The 12,600-nt window shown below is 51.4% G+C and overlaps 1 protein-coding gene across 1 annotated transcript in view, besides 3 other annotated features; it reads left to right on the plus strand.

Annotated features, from left to right (window-relative positions):
* Positions 6,204–6,734: an enhancer, noted in NCBI's record as "H3K27ac-H3K4me1 hESC enhancer chr15:85359685-85360215 (GRCh37/hg19 assembly coordinates)". NCBI's record gives its function as "activates a minimal SCP1, AML or CMV promoter by ChIP-STARR-seq in primed H9 embryonic stem cells {active_cell/tissue: H9 hESC(primed)}" and the evidence as "EXISTENCE:reporter gene assay evidence [ECO:0000049][PMID:30033119]".
* The window catches only part of ALPK3 (alpha kinase 3), a 56,124-nt gene continuing 50,629 nt past the window's right edge, over positions 7,106–12,600 (plus strand). The window contains exon 1 of the mRNA NM_020778.5: positions 7,106–7,345. Coding sequence (NP_065829.4) covers positions 7,203–7,345 — 143 coding nt within the window. The 5' untranslated portion in view covers positions 7,106–7,202. The remainder of the gene's footprint in view (positions 7,346–12,600) is intronic.
* Positions 8,862–9,393: an enhancer, noted in NCBI's record as "H3K27ac hESC enhancer chr15:85362343-85362874 (GRCh37/hg19 assembly coordinates)". NCBI's record gives its function as "activates a minimal SCP1, AML or CMV promoter by ChIP-STARR-seq in primed H9 embryonic stem cells {active_cell/tissue: H9 hESC(primed)}" and the evidence as "EXISTENCE:reporter gene assay evidence [ECO:0000049][PMID:30033119]".
* Positions 9,394–9,923: an enhancer, noted in NCBI's record as "H3K27ac hESC enhancer chr15:85362875-85363404 (GRCh37/hg19 assembly coordinates)". NCBI's record gives its function as "activates a minimal SCP1, AML or CMV promoter by ChIP-STARR-seq in naive and primed H9 embryonic stem cells {active_cell/tissue: H9 hESC(naive and primed)}" and the evidence as "EXISTENCE:reporter gene assay evidence [ECO:0000049][PMID:30033119]".

The following is a 12,600-nucleotide window of genomic DNA, read 5'->3' on the forward strand; positions in this document are numbered from 1 at the left end:
GAAGCATGCCAGAGTGGCCAGCTCATCCCAGAGCGGTAGGACCTGGAGTGTCCACCCTCTTGGAATAGAGGCTCAGCTGCCTGAGCTGGGAGCTGTGGCAGCTCTTGGAGGGAGGTCAGACAAGCAGCAAAGAGCCCTGCAGACCAGCTGGCAGGAAGGGCAGCTTGTAGCACAAGGCAGTAAGTTCCCACGGGAGGGCAGGATCAGCAGAAAGAACTGGGCTTTGTTGAACTCAGAGCTGAGACTTTAGAATGAGTGGAATCAAGCGAAGGAAAAATAGAGGAAACTGGAGGGATTGGATAGGTATTTGATTAATTTACCATGCTATTAATGACTCGCATTGAGATGTGGTTTGAGGAGCGTTGAGGACTGGAGTGGAAGCCAATGATGCTTCATAAGGAAGTTTTCAATGACCCCTGACCTCAGACCTGTGCCACAGCTTGTGGAGAAGGCCACCTCAGCATGAGTCCACATGGGTGCCAAAGAAGCAAAATAAGACCTGGAAAGTCTTCTGACCAGAATGAAGTTGATGATCATTATAATGTACTTTGCTCTAAAAAGCTCGTGTGAACTATGACCATTCATGGCACAGGAGTTTGAGGTGAACATTGGCAAAGTAGATGCATCCAGAGAGGAACATCTTGCATGGCCTGAGGCTCTCAGTGCCATTTTGTTCAAGGAGCTGTTGAAGGAATTTGATGTTTCATCAAGAAAAGAGGTATTTCATGACCAGTATTTTCACGTCTTTGCGGAGCTATCATATCAAAAAGGAGTCTAGACATCTGTGTGGCTCCAGAGCAAAATTTGACTCAGAATAAAAGGAAAATCTGCCTGAAAATGAAATGGGCTGCTTGGAGGAGTAGCACATTCTCACGCCCTGGAGATGTGCAGGCACAGGCTAGGGCCCCTCCACCAGGGTTGTCTAGACAGTGCTGAGGCCCTGCAGTGGCAGGGAGAGGCTAGAGGTGTAGGGATTACTTAATGATGGCCCTTCCTGCCAACCGTGATCAGTCCCTGCTCCCCGCCCCCCGTTTCCTCTCCTCCACACAGATGGGACCACATGTGTCTCCCCTTAGTCTCTCTCTGTCCCAAGCCTGAGGACCAGCTGTGGTCCCCAGGAGCTCCACGTTAACCCTCAGGGACTGGCATCTGGCCACTGTCATTGGGTGGGCCTGGCTCTGACCTTATGTTTCAGCTCTACTCATTGGGTTGCTTCTACCTTGTTCAGGAGGCCAATGTTTGCAACTTCATAACCCAATTCTGTTAACCCATTATTGCTTGATATTGTGACTGGCTCCCCTTGGGCTCTTTTGAGAAGTTTGGTAGTGAACTGAAAGATGGGGTTGGCAGGGTATGGTGGCTTATACCTGTAATCCCAGCACTTTGGGAGGCTGAGGCAGTGTGATCGCTTGAGCCCAGGAGTTTGAGACCAGATTGAGCAATATCGAGAGACACTGTCTTTTCAAAAAATTAAAAATATATATATTAACTGGGTGTTGTGGTGTGTGCCTGTAGTCCTAGCCCTTTGAGAGGCTGAGGCAGGAGGATCACTTGAGCCCAGGAGGTCAAAGCTGCAGTGAGCTATGATCACACCACTGCACTCCAGTCTGGGTGACAGAGTGACCCTGTCTCAAAAAAAAAAAAAAATGGGTAAATACTTTAGAAGCAAACATTTGATTGTCCTCATAGGCTGTGGGGAAGGAGGGAAGGAGGCCAGGCAGGGGAAGCAGAGAGCTGTTACAGTAGGGCTGCTGAGAAGGCCAGAAGTTTGAGAGCCTTGGAAGGGAAGCAAATATAGGAAGCAGAGGTTAGTGTGACACAGGGATGATATAGACAGCCTGTCCTCCTTTAAAGTTGATGTTCTTGCCCAATGGTCTCACTTTCCCCTGTATTTTGAAGGAACAGTTGACCATCACAAGTGAGGAAGGCAAAGGGGAGATTGTAATCTTATTTGGAACAGTTGCTGTAGGGAAAGGAAAAGGTCAGTTTGGGAGAATGTAAAAGGATTGCCACGCTGCCTGAGATTGGACTTAGGCTGGAAACCAGAAATGTTGGCCAACCCTGGAGCAAGAAGAAGCCCACAACCTAATCCCAGGTTAGGAACCTGCTGGGTAAATTTAGTAGAAGGTGAAGGGCAAGTGCAATGAGTTCCCTAAGGAAGGTGTAGTTGACGTTATTGTCCACTTTGCACTGTGTTCTTGTGTGTATGGGGATGAGGTGGGGGTGGATAAGAGAAGTCACCCAGGAAGGAGCTCAAGATCATAGAGGCTACAGGGGAGCTGACATTTTAGAGGTAGAGAAATTTCTGCCGGGCGCGGTGGCTCGTGCCTGTAATACCAGCACTTTGGGAGGCGCAGGCGGGTGGATCATGAGGTCAGGAGATCGAGACCATCCTGGCTAACAAGGTGAAACCCCGTCTCTACTAAAAAATACAAAAAAATTAGCCGGGCGTGGTGGTGGGCACCTGTAATCCCAGCTACTGAGGAGGCTGAGGCAGGAGAATGACGAGAACCCGGGAGGCGGAGCTTGCAGCGAGTCGAGATTGCGCCACTGCACTCCAGCCTGGGCGACAGAACAAGACTCCGTCTCAAAAAAAAAAAAAAAAAAAAATCGAGAAATTTCTGGTGACAAGGTTCAAGTGGTGGGCATTTGATTGAGATGTGAAAGGTAAGTGAGGGTGAAGTTCTTTGTGAAGACAAGGTCACTGGACCTCTGCCAGGGTGTTGGCTGTCATCAGAGAGGCTAGGATGATGGTAACGGACCACAGCCTGCCATGGTTGCACTCAATGTGAGGTGACTGTTGTTTTTCATCAGTTCAGGTGAATGGTCATGAGGAATGTGATGGCTAATAATATTGGGGTTAAGGATTGGGTAATGCATGCCATGGGCAATGCTTCAAAGGAGGATGGATTGTCCCCTTTGAGTTTTGTTAGCATTGGAAGAGAGGGGGCTGGGTAGGAAGGGGAAGGGATGGAACTAAATTAAAATAAAAGGCATGTTCAAACTCATTCAGACCTTGTTCAGAGGGACTGATGTAGTAGGATCTAAGCGTCCTGGGAGATTCCGCCATTCTCTAACAGGGAGCAGCTTCCTTTATTGCACTGAATATGTTCACTAACACAAAAACAGGCCCAAGATTTTCCTACTATAGGTACCCAGTTTATTCTGGGGCCCCAGGAAGTTCAAAATAACTGGAAGATGGGATCCTGGCACCAATAACAAATTCCTACAGTGCTTCCTCAGTACATGGCAAACACTGACTGCCTTGTACTGTGTTGCTTACTTTGTTTGTTTGAGACAGGTTCTCTCTCTGTTACCCAGACTGGGGTTCAGTGGTGCAATCACAGCTTACTGCAGCCTCCAACTCCTAGGCTCACGTGGTCCTCCCACCTCAGCCTCCTGAGTAGCTAGGACTACAGATGTATGGCCAGCTAATTTTTTAATTTTTTTGTAGAGATGGGATCTCACTTTCTTGCCCAGGCTGGTCTCAAACTCCCAGACTCAAGCAATCCTCATGCCTTGGCCTCCCAAAGTGCTGGGATTACAGATGTGAGCCACTGTGCCTGGCCTGTATTATTTCCTAATGCAGAACCAAGGCATGCACTCTTCTGTGCTCTTTTAGCACCATGTACAAACCTCTATCACAGGATTTGTAATGATTCTGTTTTAATTGTTCTCTCTTCAGGCTTGAGAGGTTCTTGAGGACAGAGACTATAACTTATTCATTTCTGTACCCTCAGCACCTGGCATAATGCCTCACATGTAATAGTTAATACTTGCTGAATGAATGGCTATGACCTTCAGGATCATAAATGGAATGCCCCACTCCATTTTACAAAGGAGAAAGCTAAAGCTCAGGGATGGCAAGCCACTCGGCCAAGGTCACACAGCTGCTCAGTGGAAGAGTAGGATTAGTCTCTGGACTCCTAGCCTAGTCCTTGTTAGACAACACCACTTTCCATGTCCTCTTTCTCTTGTTAGACTGTAAACTTGGAAAGGAAAGGCATTATTGACTTCTCCATCCCTGAGTTCCTTGACATTCCTTACTCAGCTTGACCCCTATCTTGAACTTGGTTGAAGACAGAGAAAGTGTTCTTGTTAAATTTGCAGATAGCAGGAAGCTGGGTTCCAAATCTTGGCCAGATGTGGTGGCTCATGCCTGTAATCCCATCACTTTGGGAGGCTGAGGCAGGAGGATCGCTTGAGCCCAGGAGTTCAAGACCAGCCTGGGCAATATAGTGAGACCCTGTCTCATAAAAAAAAAAAATGGGAAGGATAGATTCTCCTATAGGTTAGCACTGGATGATGGGCAGAATTAAAAAAGATACAGACAAGAAGGAAAGGAAGTATAAGAGTAGGAAGATGAGATTTAACTTAAAAAAAAACCCCAAAAACAGGTAAGATTGTATACTTAGGATAAAAGAGACTTTAGGAGTGGGGAAGACTTTGATGAACAGTGGTTTTTGTTGAAAACTCACAGGCTCAATGAAAAATTGAGTCAGTGAAATAATTTGGCTGTCTGTCAGGGAAGTTGTTAATGTCTGGAGCCCAGACCCACCCTTAATATAGGTGCGAATTTAGTTGTAGGTTGCTATGGTCTAACCTCTGCAGGGGCCACATTTTCCAGAGGAAATTGGTAATTTGGAATGGGTAACTAGTGGCACCATATCCATTGTCGTATGAGAAATGGCCTGGAAGGGAAGTCCAGAGTCCCCATTGTGCTAGGCAAGGTCTCAAGGCTCTAGCCCCTGCCTCGTCATCCTCTCTCTACTTTCCTGTCGACTTCATACTCAAGTGACGTGCATACCGGGCTGTGTCAGTCCTCCATATCTTTATACGTACTGTTCCCTCTATCTGGAATATTCGGTTCCTCCTGCTCCCCACCCATAACAGTCTACTTGGCGAGGACCTACGTAATTTACAAAATCCTTCTCAAGTTTTACTTCCTTCCTTGTAAAACTGTCCTAATACAGGCAGAACTAACCACTGTTTTCTCTGTACTTTGGTGCTTCCCTATACATAGTTTTAGAATTGTATGTTTTCCCCTGCATCGTATGTTGCCTGTCCCACCTATTAGACTGTGAGCTTCTTGCAGGCAGAGACCCTGTGACCCCGGCCTCTAGCACCTGTGCCCTAACCTGACCCATGAGTGTTCACATGCTTTCCCACCCACCCCCTTTTTTTCTCTGCTGCTTGAACCAGCATACACGATTTAAACAAATGAACCAGAACTCCAAGTGGGTTTTCAAATATTTGAAAGACTACCCTGTAGATGACTGAAGATTCTGTGCACCTCCAGAGAGCCAAGAGCAAGAATGAATGGGGACATGTGATCAAGAGATGAATTTGGGATCACTAGGAGAGAACACATTAGTATTGGTCAGGATACTTCTACCAACAGAAGCCTAAATTGGAAATAGCAAAGGGAGAACTTTTTTGGTACACAGATTCCAAGGAAAGTTTGAACTGCCAACCTGCAGGAAGGCCAGGGACAAAGCTGGAACCCAGGAACACCTGAACGAGGGCACCTGAAAGCCACCAGGACCCTGTGTCCTTTGCCTCTGCTTCTCTCTGTGCTAGCTTCCTTATTCCTCACTGTAAACTGGCTTACTCTACAGGGCAGGAAACATGGCTGCTGACAGCTGTGGCCTCACAGCTCAGTTTTCCACCACAGAGGGTCTGGTTTTCTTTCCCAATTCCAGTTAAAAATGTTTTAGAGAAGAACTTTATTGGCACAGCCAGGGTCTATAGTCAGGGAGATTGGGTACCGTGAATAGCCTGGCTTGAGTTTGATGGCAGTCAGCTGAGGCCAGGAGTGGGATCATGTGGGAACAAGGTAGTTGCCATTGGAACCACACGGAGTAGGGGAAAGCCATTTCCAAAAGGAGTAGGGATGGGTGCAGCTTCGAAAACAGAAGGGTTGGACTCCTTTGCTCCCACTTTCTAACAATTACAGCCATTTAGCTTCAGGTACTTTCTGGATGCTCTCAGGAAAATAGGAGAAAGAAGGATGGATAAAAAAGTCTGTGGGCACTTCCGGCCGGGCGCGGTGGCTCACGCCTGTAATCCCAGCACTTTGGGAGGCCCAGGCGGGCGAATCACGAGGTCAGGAGATCGAGACCATCCTGGCTAACACGGTGAAACCCCGTCTCTACTAAAAAATACAAAGAAAAAAATTAGCCGGGCGTGGTGTGGGGCGCCTGTAGTCCCAGCTACTCGGGAGGCTGAGGCAGGAGAATGGCATGAACCCGGGAGGCGGAGGTTGCGGTGAGCCGAGATAGCGCCACTGCACTCCAGCCTGGGCGACAGAGCCAGACTCTGTCTCAAAAAAAAAAAAAGTCTGTGGGGACTTCCAATATTTAGACCAGGTTTCGGCAGTGCTTGGCACTAGTTCTTGGAAATTGTTGCATGATTTGATTATTTTTCTGGGTATCAGGACTCAGCCCATTTCCCCCTCTGGTGCTGAGAAATGGAGGCCGAAGGAGTGATCTAGAAGTGTTAATTGAGCCCCTAATCTATGCTAGTTACTGGGGGTGTTGGGGGAGACAGGAGAGAGATCCCACGGGGTTCCGGCCTCCCAGGGACTCAGGTCACTAATGGAGGTGGCTTGGCTTGTCTATGTGCTGGGCCAACAGCCACTGGCGAGGCAAGGCGAGGGTCAGTCACGGCTGGTGCCAGGAAGAGGGCTGGTTCTTTGGCTCCCTGGTCTCCCGCGGTCTAGCCCAAGCTGGCCAGCGGTTGACCTGGCTCCCCTGGCCCCGGCCAGGCCTCGTGGACCCCTCATATGCCACACGGGACATGAGCAGGCCGGCCGGGAGCCGGGTCCCGGGAGCTCCACGAAGGGGCCTGTCCTCCATGACCAGGACACCCGCTGCGCCTTCCTCCCGAGGCCTCCCGGGCCTCTCCAGACGCGGCGCTACTGCAGACACCAGGGCCGCCAAGGGAGCGGACTCGGAGCCGGCCCTGGGGCGGGCACATGGGCCCCGGCGCCCCCCGGCGTCTCCAAGCCGCGCTGCCCGGGTCGGGCCAGGCCAGGGGAGGGACAGCAGCAGGTGACGACGGCCCGGCCACCGGCTATAAATAGGGGCGCGCGTCAGCCGCGGGCGGGAGCGGCGGCGGCGGGCAGGGGCCCGGGGGCCGGGGCCTGGAGGACAGGCGAGGCAGCGGCGAGTGCGGGGCCGGCGGTCGGGGAGGGCGGTGCCATGGGGTCGCGGAGGGCCCCCAGCCGGGGCTGGGGCGCGGGTGGGCGGTCGGGGGCGGGGGGCGACGGTGAGGACGACGGCCCCGTGTGGATCCCCAGCCCAGCCAGCCGGAGCTACCTGCTCAGCGTGCGGCCCGAGACCAGGTAAGTGGCACCAAGGGGCAGGGCGGCGTCGGGCCGGCGATGCCCTGGGATCAGTCCCTGTGAGGGCGGCCTGGCCCCTGGAGGCCTGGGCTGGGCCTGCGCCCTCGAGCCCTCTCAGCCCCAAGGCCCAGGGCCTGGGGACATGGCCGGGCTGGAATGGCTTTCATAGCCCCTTGTGACCCCTCCTGATCCATGCGCCTCAGGCCTCTGGCAATTCGAGGCTCAAGAGAGGACAAAGGCTCCACTTTGGAGTGATTTCATGGGGTCTGAAGGCTTTCCTTATCTCCCCTGCCCCCTACCCTGCTACTCCCTGGCTTGGGATTCCACAGCTAGCGATAAGGAAAGCCAGAGTGGCTGAAATTCCTCCCTGGCAGGAAGGGAGGGGGAGAGCACTGGTGGGGACAGGGAGAGGGTGCTGGGGGGCTGCCCAGAGTAGGAGCTGCTTAGCTCAGGGTGGGGAGGTTCTCCAGGAAGAAATAAACCTTTGTAAATAAGGTTCCTCTACTGGGCCGAGGACTTGGGTCCTCCCCAGGACCTGAGTGGGGGCTGGTGAGATAGGGGGTGGGATGAGGTACTGTCTGGAGATGTTGGGAATTAAGGACTTGCAGCTCTGAGGGAGCCAAGTGCCCTGTCCAGTTTGGGGAAGTGAAATGCCAAGGGAGGTGTGGAACTGATGAGCCCTTCACTGGTCTTCCAAGAGTTCAAGAGGTGTGGAAGCTTTGTTTTAGCAGCTAGGCCACCCACAGATATAAAGACACAAAGACAATAGACAGGCATCCAGGAAATCAAAGGCACACAGGCACACGTGGACAGGCGCATTGCCATGGAGACAGACACTTCCTGCCCCCTGTGGGCAGCTCAGTTTCCCTTCACTTCTGGAGTCTGTTTTCCAAAGGGAAATGTGTTGAGATAGTGGTTGTTTCATAGCCTGAGAACTTGACTTGTGTATTATGCAGAAAACGGCCATTCCTCCAAGAGGCTGTCCAGAGACCTCTTGTTCTCCATTCCTAAAACAGCATAAAAACAGGCATCGAGGACATTCAGGAAAAGTCCTGGGCACTTCCTCGTGAATTGGCTGAGTCCTACTGACCTTGGAGTTGGGAAAGTTCAAATGTAACCGGAACCGGTTTCTGCATAAAACTCGTCAAATGGTGTCACATGTCTGGGGCAGGGCTGAGGACTGATGTTAGTGACTGAGTCAGACTCAACAAGGCCCCTGGCTGCCAGGAAAGAATACCCCTTTTTCTTACTCCTGGCTCTACAGATAAACCAGAATGAAATTTGGACATTTATTCCAGTCCTTAGAGAAGCTGACTCCCTTGTGGGAGCCTCACATTTGTCACAGTGACTTGTCTGGGCTTTGCCTCCTGTGTTTGGCCTTTGTCAATACCAGTGGAACAAACAGAAGAGGCGGAACCAGGGTCCTTCTTGGAGACAGCAGCAATGAAGGAAGGGAGGAAAGAGTGCCTTGAAAACCAGGCAGAATGGGGAGGGCAGGGGATCTGGGCTTTTAGGAAAAGGGCTGGAGAATGGACATAGTGCTGCTGCCTGGCTGAGCAGTTGTATGATAGATAAATGTTAATTGTACACCTCATGAGCACAAAGCTTGTGCCAGCCTGAGAGCTAGAGGCAGGATAGAAGTGGCTGGCTTAAGTCCCTTTGGACCTAAATGGGAATGTTCTTAAAAGGAGTCTCTTTCATCAAGTATCTGGAGGGGGCAGGACAGCAGGAGTGGGAGAAAGCTTTGGACTTTGGGCTGTGTTTTGCCCCTGCAGAGTTTTTTACTGCTCCTGCTGGCTAGCCACAGACCCCTAGAGGTTCTGAGAGACAAGGACAGCCAGATTTATCAGGCATCTGGAAAAGCCTTTGGCCAAAGTGGGGAGAATGTGACTGGGGCTGCAGTGGGGAGTGGAGGAGGCGAGGCAGTTCCTGCTTCTCTAGTAAGGCCTGACCTGTGTTGGAGGGAGCCACCGTACTGTCTGCTGTCCCTCAGAACAGCCTCACTGCCTGTGGGGGTGGGGAGAGCTCCCTAGAGATAGGGAGAAAGACAGTCCCTCGAGAATTTTGCCAGCTATGTTGGCTCCAGCCCAGCTGAGCCCTGACTATGCCAGAGTCCTGACTGAGAGGCAAGTTCTGTCCCCACTCACTCTTGGCTCCAACATCTTCTGGGTCTACCTTCACAAAGATGTGTCATGGAGCTCTCCAGGCATCATTCTCATGGACCCTTGTGAGGAGGGGCTACCCCTGGGAACTGATGGACAGCTGAGCTGATGGACACCAGAGGCCTTGGTGGATGGCCCAGAACCTATCTCCCTATGCACCTCTCTCTGTCCCACAGCTCTGAAAGGGTTTCCAGTCCATGTCGGTGCAAGAATATTTCCAATGCCCACTGGGGTCAGAGGTCTCACATGCAGATAGTCCCACCAAACTGTAGGCCCAGCCCCCAGGTCACCCGGCATCTAGGACCTCACCCCCATAGAACAGTGAGATGTGGGTAGGCTAGAGAAGTTAAGGGGCCAAAATTGAGTAGAAGCAGTTTTGATTTTTTTTTTGAAGCAGTTATGATTAATTAGCTTTTATGGGACACTCAGAAGTTCCAGAAACCCCTGCCCCCTGGATTCTTGGAGGCCCTGGTCCAGGTGGGCTCAGAGAAGTCACAGAACCTATGATGTTACTACAGACAGCTTTGAAACAAGCTCTGCTGTTCAGCATGGGTCAGCCAGGCTGTCTAGGGCTTTTAGGGAACCTGAGGTATCAGGCCAGGACTGTCCAAAGGCCTTTTATGTCCCAGACTAGATGAAAGCCAGGAGGGATGGAGGCCCCCAGCTTTCGTGGTCAGTTCTAGTTTTCCGTAGCCTACTTCACTCTTTTATGTATTTATTATTTTAGTGTGTTTTTTTTTTGAGATGGAGTCTTGCTCTGACACCCAGGCTGGAGTGCAGTGGCGTGATCTCTGTTCACTGCAACCTCCGCCTCCCAGGTTCAAGTGATCTTCCTGCCTCAACCTCCCGAGTAGTCTGAGATTACAGACGCCTGCCACCGCACCCGGCTAATTTTTGTATTTTTAGCAGAGACGGGATTTCATCCTGTTGGCCAGGCTGGTCTTGAACTCCTGACCTCAGGTGAACTGCCTGCCTCGGCCTCCCAAAGTGCTGGGATTACAGGCATGAGCCACCATGCCCGGTTTAGATTTTAATTATTTATTTTTTATAAAGATGGGGTCTTGCTATATCACCGAGGTTGATCTTGAACTCCTGGGCTCCAGCGATCCTCTTACCTCAGCCCCACAAAGTGTTGGGATTATAGGCATGAGCCACTGTGCTCAGTCCTAACTTCACTCCTTTATGAGGAGACCTTTCCTTTCTGGGCCCTGAATTCCAACCCACCTCCAACCCTTTTTTTTTCTTCTATTCTGCTTATGTATGAATTCCCATTTTGTGAGATGAAGGTGGCACGAAGAACTCTTTAAAGCTTTTCTGCCCCAATGTTTGATGCCTCTCATTCAGCTCCCCCTCAGAGGCAGTAAATGGGGAGCTCCCCTGCCTGGGTGACAGCCCTGAGCCTAGCTGTGGCCCAGCCAGCAGGGCACAGGCAGGTCTCCCACCTTCTGAAGACCAGGTGCCTCCATTAGTTCAGGGTTTCTCCTGACCTGACTAACAATGTAAGGGCGAGGCCTAGAGAGGGCAGGGCGGTTGGTCCAGGAGCAGCAGAGCTGGGGGAGGGGTCCTCTGTCCCAGCTCACTTCTTGACCAACATGCAGGTGGAACTTGTCATTTTCCTCTCTGAATTAGAAAGCTAACTCTCCCCCTCTCCTTCCCAGGGAAGAAGTCCAGACCCAAAGAAGAAGAAATCTCCCAATCCTGAAAGAGAGGGACAAATGAAATTTATGGTCAGGAAAGGATGGAGTTGGCCAGTGCCTTGGAACCATGGGAGGTTCTGCCCACGCGGCCTCCAGAGGATTTTTAAAGCTCTGAGCAGAGGCAGCTGCACTCTAGCACGCTCCTTTCCATCTTTTCTGGAGCAGCAGCTCCCTCTCGGGGGCAGCACCCTTCCTGCTTGAAAAATGCCTTTCTCTCCCCTGACCTCTCTCCCTCCCCCAGGTCCCCCACTGTACTTTCCTCCTCTTTCTTTTTCTTCCTCTCTCTCTCTCTCCCTTCTATAGAACAGCAGTTAAATACCCATCGTCTGTGCAGCACTGCACTAGGAGCCACAGAAGCTACAAGAACTAGGTTTGAAGGCTGGATGGGCAGGATTTAGTTGAGCAGTAGGAGGGAGGAAGGACTTTCCAAACAGGGAGGACAAAAGGGAAGGCTCAGGGGTCAGGAAGGACTGTTCATGCTGATAAGGGACAGGCCTGGCTGTGGTGGCGCCGGAGCATTGGGAAGTAGAGGGAATCTGGTTGCAGCGGGAGTGTGAGTAGATCAGGGAGGGCCCTACCAACCCAGTTAAGGAGTGGAGACTCAGCGTCCTCTACACTGGGGGACTGCAGCATTTTGTTAGAGAAGTGGGTTATATGAGGGGTTAAGGAGAGGGGGCTGAGGTGGTCATCAAATGTGGAGCCATGAGGGTCTAGACTGTAGTGCAACAACAAGAGCAGAGAGGAAGGGAGAAACAAGGGCCAAGAATTGTGCGGACTGGATTTGGGGTTGGAGAAGAAGTAGTCCAAGATGGCAGGTTTTGAGCTTAGGAGTTTGGGAGAATGCTGGAGGTATCTACCAACCCAGGAGCCCGGGGTTAGGGGTGAAGCCAGGTTTTAGGGAAAAGGATGGGTTTGGTGTTGTGGTTATAAAGAGATGGGATCCTCATAGAGCTTTCTTATGGTTAGAGACATAGACCGTGAGCACCATTGAACAGGCTGGGCTGCTGGGAAGGAAGGGAGAGCTCTTCTCATGATAGGGACAGCCGAAGGGAGTGTGGATGGGGTGACCTCTGACATCTCTCAAGGAGCTGGGATCCAGGTCCCCACTGGAGATTTTTGTATCAGGAAAGGAGGAGGGAGAGGGAACAGTTGGCTCATAGTAAGTGGGCTAGACTCCACTAAGGGGCGGTCCTGTGTGGGTCCTCATCCTAGTGCCCTACACAGTGGCCTTTCCTAGCTGCCCCAGGCAAGAGAGATGATTGGGGCCTCAGGCAGAATGGGCCTTGTGTGGACCATGGAGCTGGGTGCCTCCCAGCTCCTGCTGAATTAACTGCCTTGTTTTTCTCTTTTTCACTCTCCCAGCTGGTTTGCCTTGTGTGGCCTCTTTAACCATACT

Source organism: Homo sapiens, chromosome 15 (assembly GCF_000001405.40).
Source record: "Homo sapiens chromosome 15, GRCh38.p14 Primary Assembly".
Lineage (NCBI taxonomy): Eukaryota > Metazoa > Chordata > Mammalia > Primates > Hominidae > Homo > Homo sapiens.